The sequence below is a fragment of the Homo sapiens genome, chromosome 1 (genome assembly GCF_000001405.40).
Source record: "Homo sapiens chromosome 1, GRCh38.p14 Primary Assembly".
Taxonomy (NCBI): domain Eukaryota; kingdom Metazoa; phylum Chordata; class Mammalia; order Primates; family Hominidae; genus Homo; species Homo sapiens.
The window spans coordinates 114,343,532-114,361,254 of record NC_000001.11 but is presented as its reverse complement, the minus strand read 5'-3'; the positions used below and the strand labels follow the sequence as shown (position 1 = coordinate 114,361,254).

The 17,723-nt window shown below is 46.2% G+C and overlaps 1 pseudogene, besides 6 other annotated features; it reads right to left on the bottom strand.

Moving 5' to 3' along the window:
• LOC100421116 (trafficking kinesin protein 2 pseudogene) lies at nucleotides 6,096-7,269 on the bottom strand (annotated as a pseudogene).
• Nucleotides 7,754-8,254: an enhancer, noted in NCBI's record as "H3K4me1 hESC enhancer chr1:114895623-114896123 (GRCh37/hg19 assembly coordinates)". NCBI's record gives its function as "activates a minimal SCP1, AML or CMV promoter by ChIP-STARR-seq in naive H9 embryonic stem cells {active_cell/tissue: H9 hESC(naive)}" and the evidence as "EXISTENCE:reporter gene assay evidence [ECO:0000049][PMID:30033119]".
• Nucleotides 7,754-8,755: a biological region, named in NCBI's record as "H3K4me1 hESC enhancers GRCh37_chr1:114895122-114895622 and GRCh37_chr1:114895623-114896123".
• Nucleotides 8,094-8,388: a silencer, noted in NCBI's record as "tiled region #970; HepG2 Repressive non-DNase unmatched - State 20:ReprD, and K562 Repressive non-DNase unmatched - State 8:EnhW". NCBI's record gives its function as "represses a minimal TATA promoter and a strong SV40 promoter by Sharpr-MPRA in HepG2 and K562 cells {active_cell/tissue: HepG2 | K562}" and the evidence as "EXISTENCE:reporter gene assay evidence [ECO:0000049][PMID:27701403]".
• Nucleotides 8,255-8,755: an enhancer, noted in NCBI's record as "H3K4me1 hESC enhancer chr1:114895122-114895622 (GRCh37/hg19 assembly coordinates)". NCBI's record gives its function as "activates a minimal SCP1, AML or CMV promoter by ChIP-STARR-seq in naive H9 embryonic stem cells {active_cell/tissue: H9 hESC(naive)}" and the evidence as "EXISTENCE:reporter gene assay evidence [ECO:0000049][PMID:30033119]".
• Nucleotides 12,044-12,544: an enhancer, noted in NCBI's record as "H3K4me1 hESC enhancer chr1:114891333-114891833 (GRCh37/hg19 assembly coordinates)". NCBI's record gives its function as "activates a minimal SCP1, AML or CMV promoter by ChIP-STARR-seq in naive H9 embryonic stem cells {active_cell/tissue: H9 hESC(naive)}" and the evidence as "EXISTENCE:reporter gene assay evidence [ECO:0000049][PMID:30033119]".
• Nucleotides 15,109-15,609: an enhancer, noted in NCBI's record as "H3K4me1 hESC enhancer chr1:114888268-114888768 (GRCh37/hg19 assembly coordinates)". NCBI's record gives its function as "activates a minimal SCP1, AML or CMV promoter by ChIP-STARR-seq in primed H9 embryonic stem cells {active_cell/tissue: H9 hESC(primed)}" and the evidence as "EXISTENCE:reporter gene assay evidence [ECO:0000049][PMID:30033119]".

Sequence of the window (17,723 nt, the reverse complement as noted above, 5' to 3'; positions counted from 1 at the left end):
CTCAGGAGGTCCTGACTACGTTTGCCCAAGGTGGTCGGGGCACAGCTTGGTTTTATACATTTTAGTGAGATATGAGACATCAATCAATATATGTAAGATGTACATTGGTTCCATCCAGAAAGATGGGACAACTCAAGCAGGGAAGGGGCTTCCAGGTCACAGGTAGGTAAGAGACAAACGGTTGCATTATTCTGAGTTTCTGATTAGCCTTTCCGAAGGAGGCAATCAGATATGCATTTATCTCAATGAGCAGAGGGAGGACTTTGAATACTAAATAAAATGGGAGGAAGGTTTCCCTTAAGCAGATCCCAGCTTGACTTTTCCCTTTAGCTTAGCGATTTGGGGGCCCCAAGATTTATTTTCCTTTGACACCCATCTTTACTAAAAATACAAAAATTAGCCAGGTGTGGTGGCGCATGCCTGTAATCCCAACTACTTGGGTGACTGAGGCATGAGAACCACTTGAATCCAGGAGGTGGAGGTTGCAGTGAACTGAGATCACACCAGCCTGCACTCTAGCCTGGGCTTGTGAGACCCTGTCTTAGAGAGAGAGAGAGAGAGAGAAAGCCAAATTTCACCTTTGCATTAGTATCCTGTTAATGTTAAACCCAATTCTTAATAAAACTTTATAAATAAATCTATTTAATCTTAATTAGTTTGACCATAAGGTAAGATTTTCATAACCTTCTATAATCCTTTTCGATTTTCTGTTAAACAATAGGCCAATTCTCAAATACACATTATTATTTAAACACATGGGCCCAGGTTCTGGCCCTACATCAGTGTGCTTTTATGTTTAAATTATGGAAAAACTAAGTAATCTCCTTCAAATCTTAGCCAACTTACTCATACCCACAGAATTTTCTTTATAAGATCAATCTTTCACAAATCTTTTACAACTTGTTTAAACCTTTAGTTTTGTCCTATTACCCTTTTAGGTTAGGACAATCCTTTAAAACCTCTGAACTAGAAAAAATTACATTCCTACAACAAAAACCATATTTTCATGCTTTCTTATAGCCTTTTGCCAAAAGCACATTCTACTTTCCTTATACATCTTGCATGTAAAACTTTCTCCAGTAATCTCAAGTACATGTTACAATGTTAACTCTTAGCAACTCTTATTTTTGGTAAAAGATCCAGTATGTAAGCAATTCCAGACAGAAAATCAGAAGCTGTCCATGAAGGGAGAAAGAATCAATAAATGGCAAAAGTCCCACAACTATCAACACAGAAAGGGCTTATTCCCAAAGCCAGGAACTAAACCTAGGCCACCAGTGTGAAAGTGCAAAACCTTAGCTACTGAACTATAGCACACAGTGACTGCTATTGCTTTTCCCAGAACGAGTCTAGAGCAGTTATTTTTGAGCTTGCAAAAGATTTTAAGTATTCAAGAGAATTAAGTCTAGACATGACATTATCATGTGCCCTTTTTAGACTGAAGAGTCAAAGCCCTGTAAATTTAACATCACAAGGACTTTAAAAGCAATACAGAAAGTTACATGGATGGAATAACCTTTTCAAGTCCGTAATTTGAATTAACTTTTTGATAACCTTTGAATTAGACAAAACTATTCTGTTTCTCAGTAAGAACACATCTCCTTTGGCATATTTTATATGAACCTAGGAAGTAAGAAATGTTCAACTGCCTGTCAGATGTTAGCATTTTATAGATGAGAACCATTCCACAATTTTTGGAACATATTTTCCATCTAATAATGCTTTTTAAATTAATTGATTTTTTTTGAGACCATGTCTCACTCTGTCACCCAGGCTGGAGTACATTGGCATGATCACAACTCACTGCAGCCTCAACTTCCTGGGCTCCAGTAGTCCTCCCACCTCAGCCTCTTGGGTGCCTGGCTAATTGTTATATTTTTGATATAAAATATAAAGATATAATATATTTTTATAGTGTAATTTTGATATAAAATATATAATATAATATAATATAATATAATATAATATAATATAATATAATATAATATAATATAGAGACAGGATTTCACCATGTTTTCCAGGCTGGTCTCAAACTCCTGAGCTCAAGCGATCCACCAGCCTTGGCCTCCAAAAGTGCTGAGATTACAGGCATGAGCCACTGTGCCTGGCCATAACCCTTTTTATAAAATTGCAAATGACCCAGACATCCCATAAGCATCCAAAATGATTTTAAGATTTTAAATTTTATAAAAAAGCTTACTTACAAACATTTATCTCATTTATATGTACCCATTCTTTCCATTTTTCACTGTTTATTTAGACTATTTATGAAAACTGAGATACCGTACAAAGGTGGTCATCATTTAAAGTTATTTCCCTGCTAAGCATTTTTAAAGCTTTGTGAACATCAGATGTCTATCGAGATAAGAAACTTAAACATATGGGCATTTTTTCAATAACTCAGAAGATTTAGTTGTTTTCTTTAAACAATATTAAATGTCTTGTTTATAAAAAATTACACAAACAAAATCATTCTGGTTTGGCCTGGGTTTATAGTTTTATAGTTCTTATGTCAAATGTTGACACCTAATAACATCTGGCAGAGATAAATATGAAACCGCTTGATCAGTAAATCCAAGCAAAAATATATATTGACAATTCTAAAGGCATTTCTAATATTATTTTACTACTAATTTTAGAGCCATCTTATTTATTAAAGATTTTACTTAAGTCACATGAACTTGGAAAGCATTTGGGCTTATTAATTTATGAGTACTCCTTTAAGCCAATTTGGTACCTTGTGGCCACAACACATAACAAAATATATAAATGTACCTATAAACACACACTTACATACTCATATAAAGCAGGCAGAAGAGAAAACAGAGGAAGATAGAGCCTGGCCAGCCTTTGTGTAGGAGCCAAGTCTTACAAGCAGGGTGTGAGGAAGAAAGGAGGGGAAGAAAAAAAGGTAACATGATTGAAAGGAAATTCCAGAGCCTTCCAGCCATTACACAGTGCAGGGAGTACCCCCCACCATTCTCGCTTATCTTCCATAGCAAAGGAATCAGGGCTCATACACAAAGTCATACATTCATATATGCAAACAGTGTGCTTCCAAATGAGTCCCCCGTGAAGGGGGCTGGGTGAGGTCCTGAATTCTTCTCCCCCATTCCAAATGGCTCCATGGGCCAGTGAGTCCAATCTAAGCAAACTCTCATGGTGCCACAAATACAAACAAATACAAACGCATAAAATGTCAAATGGTGGCACTATTAGCCAAGTAGGGCAGGACCCCAGTCACACCCCAAAAGTGGCAGAGGGTGATTGGTTGCACTTACTCATCCACTTCCAAATTTTGCTGGCTGTTCAGAAGTCACTTCCTGATTAAAGAATGCAACCCAACCTATCTACAGTCTTGGCAAAGCATTACTTTGAGTCTAAAGCCTTTACATCCCACTACCAATCTGTAGAAATGACAGAACACAGAGAAACATATTGAAATGCACCATAATTATGCAGTCAACAAATTTCAGAACTCAGGTTGTGCAAAACTCTACAGGTAAAATGCCCTGTATTCTTCATAATCAGCAGAAAAATTGCAAGGCAATAAAAGGGATGGAGGAGGGAAACCTGTGCATTAAAAGAGGCTTAAAAGACATGCTGTTAGGCTGGGCGTGGTGGCTCACACCTGTAATCCCAGCACTTTGGGAGGCTGAAGTGGGCGGATCACTTGAGGTCAGGAGTTCGAGACCAGCCTGGCCTACATGGTGAGACCCCCGTCTCTACTAAAAATACAAAAATTAGCCGGGCCTGGTATTGTGTGCCTGTAATCCCAGCTACTTGGGAGGCTGAGGCAGAAGAATTGCTTGAACCTGGGAGACAGAGGTTGCAGTGAGCTGAGATCGCACCACTGCACTCCAGCCTGGATGACAGAGGGAGACTTCGTCTCAAAAAAAAAAAAAAAAAAAAAAAGGCATGCCTTAAAAAAATACTGAATAGAATGCATTCAGGTTATAAATTCTGTTCAGAATACCTGAATAGAATGCATTCAGGTTATAAAATCTTAAAGAAACACAAAGAACCGATTAAGTCACAATGGTGGTTACTTTTGGAGGAAGGGAGTGGGCTGTGATAGGAACATGTCAGAAGGTGGGACTTCTGGGGTGGCCAGCAGAGTTTTATTTCTTGGTCCAATTAATAGTTATGTGGGTGTCAACCCAATCAAAATTCACACAACTACATTTGTATGATTTTTCTGTATCTGCACTTTATTTTACAATTAAAAGTTTAAAATGAATTTTTGTTTTTATTTTTATTTTGAGACAGAGTCTTACTCTGTCATCCAGACTGGAGTGCAGTGGCATGATCTCAGCTCACTGCAACCTCCACCTCCCAGGTTCAAGTGATCCTCAAACCTCAGCCTCCCCAGTAGCTGAGATTACAGGTGCACACCACCATGCCCAGCTAATTTTTACATATTTTGATAGAGATGGATTTTTGCCATGTTGGCCATGGTGGTCTTGAACTCCTGACCCAGGTGATCTGCCCACTTCAGTCTCCCAAAGTGCTGGGATTGCAGGCGTGAGCCACGTGCCTGGCCTAAAATGAATTTTTTTTTTTTTTTGAGATGGAGTCTCGCTCTGTCGCCCAGGCTGGAGTGCAGTGGCACGATCTCAGCTCACTGCAATCTCCGCCTCCCAGATTCACACCATTTTCCTGCCTCAGCCTCCCAAGTAGCTGTGACTACAGGTGCACACCACCACGCCTGGCTAATTTTTTGTATTTTTAGTAGAGACGGGGTTTCACCATGTTAGCCAGGATGGTCTCGATCTCCTGACCTCGTGATCTACCTGCCTCGGCCTCCCAAAGTGCTGGGATTACAGGCATGAGCCACCGCACCTGGCCCTAAAATGAATTTTTTAAAAAAGATTTTTCTCTTCTTTTCTTTCTTTCTTTCTTTCTCTCTTTTTTTTTTTTTTTAATTTGTTGAGACGGTCTCACTCTGTCACCCAGGCTGGAGTGCAGTGGCACGATCTAGGCTCACTGCAACCTCTGCCTCCCGGGTTCAAGTGATTCTCCTGCCTCAGCCTCCCAAGTAGCTGGGAGTACACGCAGCTACCACGCCCAGCTAATATTTGTATTTTTAGTAGAGACAGGGTTTCACCATGTTGGCCAGGCTGGTCTCAAACTCCTGGCCTCAAGTGATCCACCCGTCTCAGCCTCCTAAGTGCTGCGATTACAGGCGTGAGCCACTGCACCGGGCCTAAAACAAGATTTTATGGACAACTTTATGCCAGTAAATTGGAAAATTTAGACGAAATCAACAAATTTCTAGAAAAATTAAAACTGATGCAAATTTTTATAACGTTTGAGAAATGCATCTATAGTTAACCTTTCATTAAAGAAAACTCCACAGATAAATGGCTTTCTAAACTAATTCTAGGCCAGACATGGTGGCTTACGCCTGCAATCCCAGCACTTTGGGAGGCCGAGGTGGGCAGATCACCTGAGATCGGGGGTTTGAGACTGGCCTGGCCAACATGGTGAAACCCCATCTCTACTAAAAATGCAAAAATTAGCCAGGCGTGGTGGCAGGCACCTATCATCCTAGCTACTCAGGAGGCTGAGACAGGAGAATCGCTTGAACCTGGGAGGCAGAGTTTGCAGTGAGCAGAGATCGCGCCCTTGCACTCCCACCTGGGTGACAGAGTCTCAAAAACTCTGTCTCAAAAACAAACAAACAAAAAACCAAAAAAACTAATTCTACGTATATGAGGAGGAAATAATACTTATTTTGCCCAATCCCTTCCAAAGGAAGTGAAAGAGGGAGTACTTACCAAATCATTTTCTATTCCCCCTTTTTCAAGGCAAGAAAACCCAACTGATGAAGTGTCTTAAACCTTTCATGCTTTGCTGGTTCCATAGACTCATGGACTTTTCATACACAATCTCTCCATTCATCAGACCTCATCCTTTATTGCCTCATCACATTCTGTTCCCATTCTTCCACTTCCATATTCATAACCTTTTTGCCATGTTTCTTTTCTCTCAAATCAAACCAGACCAGATGTTTCAGTCAGCGCATAACTATTCGCATCCAAATTTGTACAAGAGGTCAGCTAACTGCTGAGTCTCAGTCCTACAGGACACCTACCCAATTTTAGTGGGGATGTACATAGTGGAGGTCAGAGGCTACCCATCATGACTGAAAGGCTGATTCCTTTTCAATTCACCAACAAACTGCATTTATTTATTTATTTTTTTATATTGAGACAAGTTCTCACTCTGTTGCCCAGGCTGGAGTGCAGTGGCGTGATCATGGCTCACTGCAGCCTCAACCTCATGGGCTCAATGCATCCTCCCACCTCAGACTCCCTAGTAGCTGGGACCACAAGCATACATCACCACTCCTGGGTAATTTTTTAGTTTTTTGTAGAGATGGGGTGTCACTATGTTGCCTAGGCTAGTATCAAACTCCTGGGCTTAAGTGATTATCCAACTTGACCTCCCAAAGTGCTGGGATTACAGATGTAAGCCACCACATCTTGGCAGCTTCCATTCTCCTGGGCATCAGGACTCTATCACTCTAGCTATCTCTAATCTCTTCAGCTGTCTACTAAACTCCTCTTCAACTGGCCCACATTAGGAGGATTTAATGAAAGTCTTAAACCATACATTTTGTGGATTCATCAATGCTGAATTGTAGTAGCTGGCAGGAGAATTTATAATTGTGATAAGCGAACTGCTATCACTGCTTCTCCTGGAATTATAAAGGGAGACTGAGCTTGGGGCAACCTGAGTGATTTCAGAGACATGCAATATCTCATAGGTGGTGAGGAGGGAAAATGCTCGGTTTGTCTATGACAGACGCTTTCCTGGGTTTGAGACAGCAATAGTAGCCAGTCCCTATCCTGAAGTCTGGGTAGTGGGAGGATGCCTACTGTTGCTTGGATATTGAATGTTTCTGTTCCACTGAAGTGGCTGCTGAAGTATAGAGTGGTACCTCCTCTTCATCCTCTTCCAAATCTGAGAGTTGAAAGACAGCATCCCCAGGTGATTGGGTAAAACCTTTAGAGACAATACCAGGTTGCGGGGTCAAGAACAGTTCTCAAGTTCGGTTAAACAAGCCATTGCCAATGGTGCAGTTTGTGATCCTTTGAGGGGCTTGACTTGGAATTTTTCTGGCACAAAACCTGGAAGGGATCGGCACTACTGAGGCCTGTGATCCCTACCTGGTCGGTGCAGAGAAAGGCAAAGCTGTCTGTGGCCAGGCCCTTCTTTCTGGCCATTCAGAATCTCCATCTTCTGTTCCCATTCTTCAGCAAGACTAAGGCAGCAGCAGGACTAACTCTAAGACAATATAGACCATGTTTTAAAGATATTTAGCTACAGTGAGAAAGAGACAGAGAAGAAGTAAGCATGAAAGGGGATAGTTTGTTTATTAATGAGATAGTGGATCAAGTTCAAAGATGGTATGAGGGACCAACAGAGGAGAAGTTCGAGACTGAAGAGAGCTGGGATAATCAATTGAGTAAGTGTCCCAGGGTGGGATCAGCAAGGAGATGTGTGGGAGATGGGATCCAGAGCACGATGGTAGGATTTGCTTCTTACTTCCCCCACCCCCTAACCACGTTCTATTTTGGATGAAGAAAGCTTCCCTTAAGCAAACCAGACTAAAGGGAAACCAAGGATGGCCTTGCATGTCTTAATATTTCTTTATGTTTCAGACTGGCTTTTGCACTTTCCTGCAAGCTGACTCACACAGTCAGAAGGCCCTACCTCCTCCATGTGAAAACGGAGAGTTAATTTGCATGCTGCTGCCTTTGCCAAGCCTTCCTGTCTTACGTCCCCTCCCAGTTCCAGTGGCCCTCCCTCCTCCCCCACAGCTGGCCCACTGCCCACCTGTACTGTGGTACTGTCTGCCTGGAGTCTGAGGTCTTGCCTGCTCTACTTCCTGACTGAGCTTCCCCTGCACGGCAGAGAGGTCCTTCTCACCTAGCATCCTACTGAGGGCCTGCCACGGAGTAGGTATTTAATGAATGCTTCCCAATTCAGATGAAAAGAAATCTCATTCCATTAAGTTATTGATTTCGAATTGAAATTTTATCATTAATTGTGGGAGGCAACCCTGACTTCTTAGGCCCAATCCTCTCCTGTAGGTCTCCTAGAGAAAGACATGATTGGGAAGCAGAAAGGGTTTGATAGCTCAGCCTTCCCCATCTCCCCTTGGCTGCTCAGCGGAGCTGCCTCTTGAGAAATGCTGAGCTGCCTGCCAGCCCGTGCAGCCTGTCAGCTCCCATCTGCCAGCCCCATCTGCTCTTCCCCAGCCACACTGCTGTTCGCTGCTGCTGCTGGGCCCTCTCCTATCATCTCTGGCTCGGCCTCTACTTGCTGCCTCTCAGCTTCTCCCCAGGGAGCTGGTTGCCCTGACTTCCTTTGCACCTATTCTCCTCCTCCTGCCAGTTTCGGCTCAATTACCCTCCCCACACCGACTCATTCCTCCTGCAAGGGGTCTGAGGCTCCACTATCGAGCAGTCAAAAGGAAAAAAACATGGAGCCTTGCCTTTCCACCACACACACCACCTCCAACTCAGGCAGGCAGTCTCCCTGCTGAGGTTGAGGAGGGCAAGGCCTGAGGGTCTTACAGCAAGACAGGTCTCCTTAGGTGGGCAGCAAGCTCCTAGGCTGGGAACGGACAGAATCTTACTGCTCAATGGAATCTCAGATATCAAGTCTAGAGGCAGATGGGGAACAGCAACCCTGGAGGAGAGGCATATTGACCGGGGTGACACTGTTGGCTCCCTACAGAGCAGAGACTGGAACACAGGTTTCCTGACTTCATCCAGCCAATATTTACTGAGCATCATCTGTGTGCCAGGCAATTGATTAGATCCACACCTACCTCAAGAAGCTCATGGTCTCGTTTGCACTCCCAGCACAGGGCTCTTCCCAGTCACAGCTGCTGATATAGGATAAGTTTTAAGGCATTGCTATAAGCAAAAATGATTGCCATCTTCCTAACTTCATGCATGGCAAGGGCTTAAATGTCCTCACATCTTTATCCAACAAATTGGTCTCACTTTTCCCAGCCCCAGGTTTACAACAGCAGGGTTCACACAACCATCCTTTTTGCTTGTGGGGTGAGATTGTCCTAGGGGTGCTGGAGAATAACCTGGGTTTTACGCAGTGGTGATCAGGAGACCCCAGAGGCTTTGTCTCTGCAGCCTGCCTGCCTCCGACATGTTAACAGCAATCAGTATGATTTTGACCAATTTTTCTGACTTCACAGTTCCCGGGAAGCCCTTTTCTACATCAGACAGTTCCCTGTGAGCAACACCAGCTTTCCCAATGCCCTAAAACTATGTCCCCCACTTCTGTGACTTGATGTGTGGGAGACCACCATTAGTGTCTTTCCACAAGGTCATGTATTGTCATATTGATTCATTGAATCCAAAGACCTCTAGAAAAGTAACAATAGCCAACATTTATGAAATGCTCATTTTGTTCTAGGCCCTGTTTTAAGCACTTTTGGTGTAACAATTGTTTTAGTCTTCCTTGATGATTATGAAGTGTGCTACCATTATTAGTCTCATTTTAGAAATGAAGAAACTGAGGTTTAGAGGAGTTAAATAATTGCTCAAGATCCCAGTTGCTGGGAAGTGGTAGACCTCAGATTTAAACGCAGCTAACCTGACTTCAAGTCTATGCACTTCACTGCTATACCTCCCTGCGTTTGGTGCATGAAGTCACTATGACCTTGGTACCAATTCATTCCTCTGGGGCATTCCTCCATGGCAACTATAGAACAAGCTTTCGGGTGGGATGTCTACAATAATTGTGTAGGTGGGGAGGTGGTGATCCATCTTGTCCATCAGTTCCCATTGCCTCTGGGCCTGGCCTGACATGAGTTGGGACAGCGTCCACCACATCAGGAATGTGGCACTTGCCAGGGCCCAGGAGCCAGTGGCTGAGGTGTGGGGTGGGTGGATGCCTGGGAGCTCGGAGATGCTGGAGCACGTAGGCTCAAGCTTGCAGTGCTGGCCTGTCTTCTACTGCTTTGCTCTGGACATGTAAGAAAACTGCGTCCCCAGCCTGGCCAGTCAACAAGCCAAGAGAGTGGCATAGGTGGGTGGCAGTGGATGGAGGGTGCTGAGCACAAAGGCCAGCACAACCTCAGTACCCTCCACTCTCACATGGTCCGACTCCTTTTAGCCCCAAGGAAGGGAGAAGAGAACATGCTGTTTGGAGGAGGCCGGGAAGAGCCCTGGAGGCACCGACTGGCCTCAGGATACTCCCATGCTCCTGGGGCCCTGGAGCAGTGCCTCCTCTACCTACCAAAGTTCTTTGGAGCAAGGCAGGGGATGGGCAGGCATCTGAAATTGAGCACCAAATGACAGGGGTGGGCAAGGGGGCTGGGCGGTGAAGGGCGCTGCAGGGAGGACTCTGGTGGAGCAAGGGCCACTGACAATGTCTCCTCACCATCAGCACGGAGATCCCTGCCCAGGATCTGCAGCCCTGTCCCCATTGGTCTGCACTCAGGGGAGGCTCAGATGTTAACATCTCTGGTTCTTTTAGAGACTAGGACAGGACAAAAGAGGAAAGGACGCATTTGCCTGTGGATGGAAGAGGCTAGCCAACAAGAAGGGCACTGTCTCTAAGTGGTGGGTTAGGAGAGGGTTGACAGCTCCTGCACGTGGCCACCAAGTCAAGTCTCTTTCCCAGCCTCCCTTACCTGAGCAAGTCCTGCGAATGACAAATGAGCTGAAATCATACACCTTAGTTCCCAGAATGTTATATTCTTGCACTTAAGAGGACTGAGTGTGTGTTCCCATGTCTTTCCTGGCCTGCTGGCTAGGCATTGGCAAGGACTGTACTAGCCATTTGCAGCTGCAAACGGAAGCCATGCCTGAGGATGGCAGAGCCACACACCAGCCCTGGACCACTTGCCTACCTCCGGACTGTCACCTGGAGAGAAACTTCTTTCTTGTTTAAGCAGTTTATCCTTTGCCGGAGGACACGTGCTTCCACGTGGAAAGGCAGAGTGGAGCAAGGAGTGGTGGGTGGGCATTGCAGGATGCTTCCATCCTGACCAAGTAGACTGAATGAGGGACTTTACCCAGCTCTGGAGCTGGAGCTCCCATTTTCATGTGGAATTCATTCAGCAGGACACCGGCTATGTCCGCAGCCCCTTCAGGAGAGTGGCCTGAAGGACAGCCTTCTTCCTAGTATCACTGATGAGACCTGGGCTGGGGGAAAGCGGAACCCGAGGACACCCTGTGCCTGAGCTGGGAAGCAGCCTGCAAAGATAGGCTGGGCCAAGCAGATGCTCTTTTTGAACATAAGAAAGAAAGAATCTGCCGGCCGACTATCGTGCCGGAATAATGACATGGATAAAGTGAGCTGCAAAGTTCACAGAAAACATTATTTTCCTCAAGGACACAGTGCAGCTGTAAAATGTCGTAACTGTCTTCTTTGAGTGACTACTGTTTTCTCACTCACTGAGAAACTTTGTCCTCTAAAATATAGACTATCAGAAATTTCACTGTTTGAAATTACATCAGTAAGAATAAAACACCTCTCTGTTGCTTAGAGGATCTCAGTCATTGACACAGGGAAGTAGCCTTAATTTACAGTCCATGTGCAGAGCCTCAGGTAAGGGGTTTCTGGACACAACATTTTACATATATCCCAACTTTAGATTCCAAGGTCAGAGGTCCTTGGATTCACTTTGCATTCCAGACCTGACATTGCCCCTTCACATTCAGCTTTGCCTTGCTGTGAGCCTAGTAAGACACTGATCATTTAAATGTCACGTAAACACCACCTTCCCCAACAATGTATAATAATCAATCTCCTACATTTGGTGAGATGCCTCATGGTTCCTCTGGTGTGTGGCTCTTTCACTGCAACAAGTCAATAAACCTGGCTTTGTCAGGTCACCCCACATTTGTCCCTGGGGGCCTGAGGCTGTTTGGTCTAAGATGGGCATTGGAATTTGTGAATATGGAGAAAATCACGCAGCATGGGGACTTCAGCTGAAGGATCCTGCTGTAGGGCAAGACCAAGAAGTTGAGTGAGGGTCTTGGAAGGCTAAAGTTACAAGGAGGTAGAAACTATCTAGAGGCAGAAGCTATAGGACAGAGAAAAGGTAAATAAGGGAGAGTAAAAGAAGCAGCAGCGAGTCTTAGTTTGAGGAACGGAGTAGACATTCAGGGCTGAGGCCGGCCGCTGAGCACGGTGGAGTGCTTGGCTGGTCCCAAGAGCCACTCCTCCCATCCCAGCTCCAGGGCTTGGAACGTTATGGTCCTGGGTTAGTCTGTAACTCTCTATGCTCCTTGCAACCCAAGTAGCTTAACTGAAACCTATCACCTCTCCTGTGCCACCAAAAATCTTAGGTTGTTGCAAGTCAGGACCGGGCAGCTTCAGAATGGTTGGACCCAGGGGCAGAGAGCAGGCACTGTTCCTACAGTTGGCAACACCTGTGGAATGGTGGCCACGAAGATCCCTGTTTGGCCAGGATTCCTGTGCTCAGGCTGTCTTTGTTCAGCCTGGTGGGGACACTCGGTGCCCAGCCCACAAGATGGGCCTCCCACTCAGGGCAGTTAGGCATGGCCTGAGGACACCCGAACGTTTCCCTCAGGAGCCTGGGAGCCTGCTGAAGACTGGCCAACAGGCCTCGTGTCTGCTCAACCCATCCTCCCACCTTGCCATGTGTCTGCCTCTGCCCAGCCCCCAGCCCTTCAGGCTCTGAGCCTCCTCCTTCAAGTCCGCCTTCATCCTGAGTTTTCAGGAGAGACACGTCTCAGGTGTAGGCACAGGGGAACCATCCCTGAAGGACAAAGAGAACCAAAGCAGTTTTGACAAAGAGCACTCAGGAAGCTGAGAGGAAAAACATTTGAGATGGCAGATGAAAGATGTTATGTGAATGCAACACATTAGAGTGGTTATGGTTGTCAGAAAAAAATAATAAATGAGCAAATTTGAAAGCCAACTGACTAAAGTCTTTGAACCACACCACATATACCAGTAAAATACAAATAATATTGGATCTTGAAATACGTACTCTTTCCTTTAGTGGGGAGTCTATTATTAGGTAGAGCTTCCCAGAAATTCCATAGGGTCTTCTCTAGTTCTTTAGTAAAAACACCATTTTGTAATTATTTGATAATTACAATGGATTCATTTATTATATTTCCAAGTCATCAGGTGTGGCATCTGGGGAGAAGTCAAACAAAGGAAGCTGGGAGCTCCCCCACGGTATGAGGCCCTGTGGAGAGAGGAGGCTAATGTAATATTAATAGAACTGGCAGAGCAGGGCAGAATCGGGAACGTATTCAGGGCCTGAGGCTGAGTGGCTGCCTGCAGACGCTGCTTTGGGGTTCCTAAGGCAGGTCATTCAAAGATGACATTCCCTTAAGAAATCATCAGACCACACCTCTCAGTTTGGGGCTTGGAGAATGCAGCTCCTGAGATGGGGTCTGCAGGTCATGATGGGGAGAGGAGTGGGATGGAGCTCAGGGCTGGTTTGGGTGGAAGCTCAGTGCCCAGGGGTTGCCCGTCCACGGCAATGCTCACACCCAACACAGCACATGATGCCTTCTTCTTGGCAATGGCCCTTCTGCTTTCTGTACAATCACAGTCCAGAAGCATTAGAGCTTCACGAAACCTCAGAGATATGGTCAGTCGCCTCCTCAGGGGAGGCACCCAGGGCTAGTGCCCTGCCTAGGGTTTCATAGGTGGTGGCAGGCCCAGGCCCAGAACATACATCTCCAGACGCTGGTCTGAAGTGCTTGCCATCAAGCCTAGTCCTACATCTGCTGGGACCCCAGTGCTGTGGGGAAGGGATCTGGTGCTGTGGGGAAGGGATCTGGTGCTGTGGGGAAGGGATCTGGTGCTGTCCGGAAGAGATCTGGTGCTGTCCATACCCATCCGCGTGTAAATGTTGTGTGGCTGGTACAGTTTAGTAAGGAAAGTGTCAAAGAAAGGCAGTGTGAATATTGGTCTGCGAGGTATCAGCGAGCCAGTAAGCAAAGAACTTGGGAGGTGCGTGCTCTCTCTCTCTCTGACACACACACACACACACACACACACACACACACACACACAGCAAATTTCGGGAGGCAAAAAGCTGTGGGATTGGAGTTGGAGAGCTCAATTTCTGTGAGATCTTAATGAGATGGTTCTGAGAATCTTCAAAAGCTAGACAATTACAAGACACTGGAATTAAAGTTTTGCAAATACCTGAGGGAGAATACTAGCTCAGGCCCTCAAAAGGTAATCACCTGTCCTGAGCAGCCAGGACCGGAGGGTCCTGGGCCAGAAGACCCTCAGGGCAAGGGGCCATTGCAAAGACGATCATGACCATGATTACCGTCATGATTGTTATCCTCGGAGAGGGGCTGCCTGCCACAGGGAATGTGCGATGGTTTCAATCTGAAAACAATCCCTGAGCTGCATGTTCAGGTAAACTCATGCTCTAGAAGCAAGGTGCTGTCGTGCAAGTTGCTGGCACAGCCTTCCGCAGCCTTCTTGCAATTCCGGGCTGCACCCGCGAGGGCTAGCGTCACGGTCCCTCTTCTGAGGCGCGCTGGCGCCCTCTAATGGACACTGCCGAACAGGACGCCACGGCGCTGCTGAGGCGCGATGGCTGCGAGGCCGCTAGGGGCGCTTGCAGGCGGCACAGACTGGTGGAGCCGAGTGACGCGGCCGCCAGAGGTTTGGGCCGATTTTGGAGACCGGTGATTAGGTTTCTTTCTGCCTGATTCAGTCCTGCTAAGTTAAAACGTGCAATAATCCCTTACTGCCAAGGCACACGTTTCTCTGTGTTTCAGGGGTATCAAAAGCATTTGCTAAACAAGTCAAACCCGTCGTTCTTTCGGTCTATTCTATCAGTGCCTGGAGAGGAATCTGGAAGAAGGAGGTGGAGAAGGAAGGAAGGGCGTGGAGGGTGAAGACGGCCCTGTGTTCCCCTGGGCTGGCCCGGCCCTCCTTTCCCAGAGCTTTTCCCCCTCTCGCCGTCACTCCCGGGGGCCCTGGGCCAGGAGGGAAGGGGGATGGAGGGGAGGATGGGATCCCAGGGGAGGGTCTGGGTGCGCGCCCCCACTGCAGGGCAGGTGACTTCGGAGGCGCTGGAGCCAGCGGAGCGCAGGCCTGTCATGCAAGCCGACCCTGCGGTGGGAGGAAAAGCGGTCTCTCGGGGGAAGGCTCCTGGCAGAGGCCTTTCCCTTGATCGGCTCACTTGGCTCTTCTGGCAATGCGGTGCCCTTCGCAGGCAACTTTCCAGGGGTCAGAATCACAGTACGCCAGCCCTGGTTTACTCCCCACAAGCGTCTCAGTCCATCACTCTGCTTTGTGTTGTGCTTGCTCTGAGGCCCAGGCTCATCCTGTACAGGCCTCATCCAGTAGCTCAACATCTGTCTCCATTCCCTCTCCCTGTCCTTTCCCCAGAACCTCCCACCAAGAACGCTGGTCTCCTATTGCTTTCACAATAGGTCTTGATGGCCCAGAAAACCCGAGCGCAACTCTATGGCATCCAAAAATGTGTTCCCCATTACTACAGGCAGGGGAGAGCTGGGTCTTTAAACACCCTGGAGGTGAGGGGCATACACGTGTGCCTTCCTGCCTTAGAGTAGGCGGAATCCTAAGACATTAAAGAAAAGAAAACAAGACAGCTGATTTCTGAATTAAGCCGGATTAAAATTCATACTAAGCTGTACTATTAATTTAAAAAGCTCTTATTTACGGTCTACTAGACACTGGGCACTTTAAATTCAATAAATTATCTCTCTCTCTTTTTTGTTTTTGTTTTTGTTTTTGTTTTTGAGTCGGAGTCTCACTCTGTTGCCCAGGCTGGAGTGCAGTGGCGCGATCTCGGCTCACTCAGCCTCCACCTCCTGGGTTCAAGCGATTTTCTTGCCTCAGCCTCCTGAGTAACTGAGATTATAAGCACGTGCCCCCATGCCCCATGGCTATTTTTTTTTTTTTTGTATTTTTTGTAGAGATGGGGTTTCGCCATGTTGCCCAGGCTGGTCTCTAACTCCTGACCTCAAGTGATCCACCCCCCTTGGCCTCCCAAAGTGCTGGGATTACGGTGTGAGCCACCACGCCCAGCCTAAATTTAATAAATTCTCACAACAAGCAAGTTAAGTACTGTTTTCTCTGTTTTCTACATGAGAAAACTGGTAATCAGAGAGGTTAAAGACTTGTGCAAAACTACACAGCTCTCGATGTCAGTTGAAATAGGTAGGTTATGCTGCCTTAATAAATAGCCCCCATATTCCAGTGGCTCATGTTAAACCAGTCGTGGTTTATTTCCTATAAACATTCCATGTGCCTCACTCTGCTCTGTGCTGTGCTTGCTTGGAGGCCCAGACTAATGGGGCCGCCAGTTGTGGGACATTGCTGGGTGCTGGGTCAGAGACCAGAGAGCTCTGGCGGGTCCCATCAGCAACTGCAGGCTCTGGCCCAAGGGGCAGGTGGGCTTGGCTCACAACTCCCTGCCTGAACAAGATTCTCTACCCTTTCAGCCTCATGGGAACCCAGAGATGCAACTCTACTAAGTGTCCAAGCAGAGACCCCCTGATGCTGGTGGTTAAATCCTTGGTGATTAAAGACGGGACAGAGGGTGGCTTCCCCTCCCTACCTCTGGGTCTCACTCGACTTCCCCTCCCTTCTCCTTTCCTCCCTTCCCCTTCCCGCCCATGTCTCTCCCATCTCTGCTTCTCTCTATATCATAAAACCATTCACAGTTTTCTCATGGGTTAACCCATGAGAAATACAAATAGATGCAAGTTCTCAGGGTGTATTCAATTCATTCTAAATATCACTAAATGAAACTGTCAGTGATGGAAACTACACTGGATAAAATTTGTCACTGAGTAAAACAGAATAAATCTACTTGACCAAATTTACAAAATTTGATTGGAGAAAAAATGGTTACGAAAATTCCCAGTTGCAGATGCTGTAACTGGTAGAATCCATGGGCCAAAAGCTGATGATGAAGCATCTTAGAATTTAAATGAAAAAAATTATTGCCAATGAGAATAATTTCAATAATGTGAAAATGAAAAAATGGAGAAAATTGGAAACTGTTTAACTGCACAGAATGGAAAATGGATTAAGAAATTAAATTGGGGCCAGGTGTGGTGGCTCATGCCTATAATCCCAGCACTTTGGGAGGCCCAGGCAGGCAGATCACTTGAGGTCAGGAGTTCGAGACCTGCCTGGCCAACATGGTGAAATCCCGTCTCTACTAAAAATACAAAAATTAGCCAGATGTGGTAGCACACGCCTGTAATCCCAGCTACTAGGGAGGCTGAGGCAGGAGAATTGCTTGAATCCAGGGGACGGAGGTTGCAGTGAGCCGAGATCATGCCATTGCACTCCAGCCTGGGTGACAGAGTAAGACTCCGTCTCAAAAAAAATAAAAAATAATAAATAAATAAATAAGATAAATAAAATTTTTAAAAAATAAAAATAAGTAAAAATTTTTTAAAAATAAAGTAATGAAATTGGGCCAGGCACAGTGGCTTATGCCTATAATCCCAGCACTTTGGGAGCTGAGGCTGGAGGATCCCTTGAGCCCGGGAGTTGGAGGCTGCAGTGAGCCATGATTGTGCCACTGCACACCAGCCTGAGTGAAGAGTGAGACCCTGTCTCTAAAAAAATAACATATAAATAGGCTCAGGAGCAGTGGCTCATGCCTGTAATCCCAGTACTTTGGGAAGCCAAGGTGGAGGAATCACTTGAGGCCAGGAGTTTGAGACTAGCCTGGGCAACAT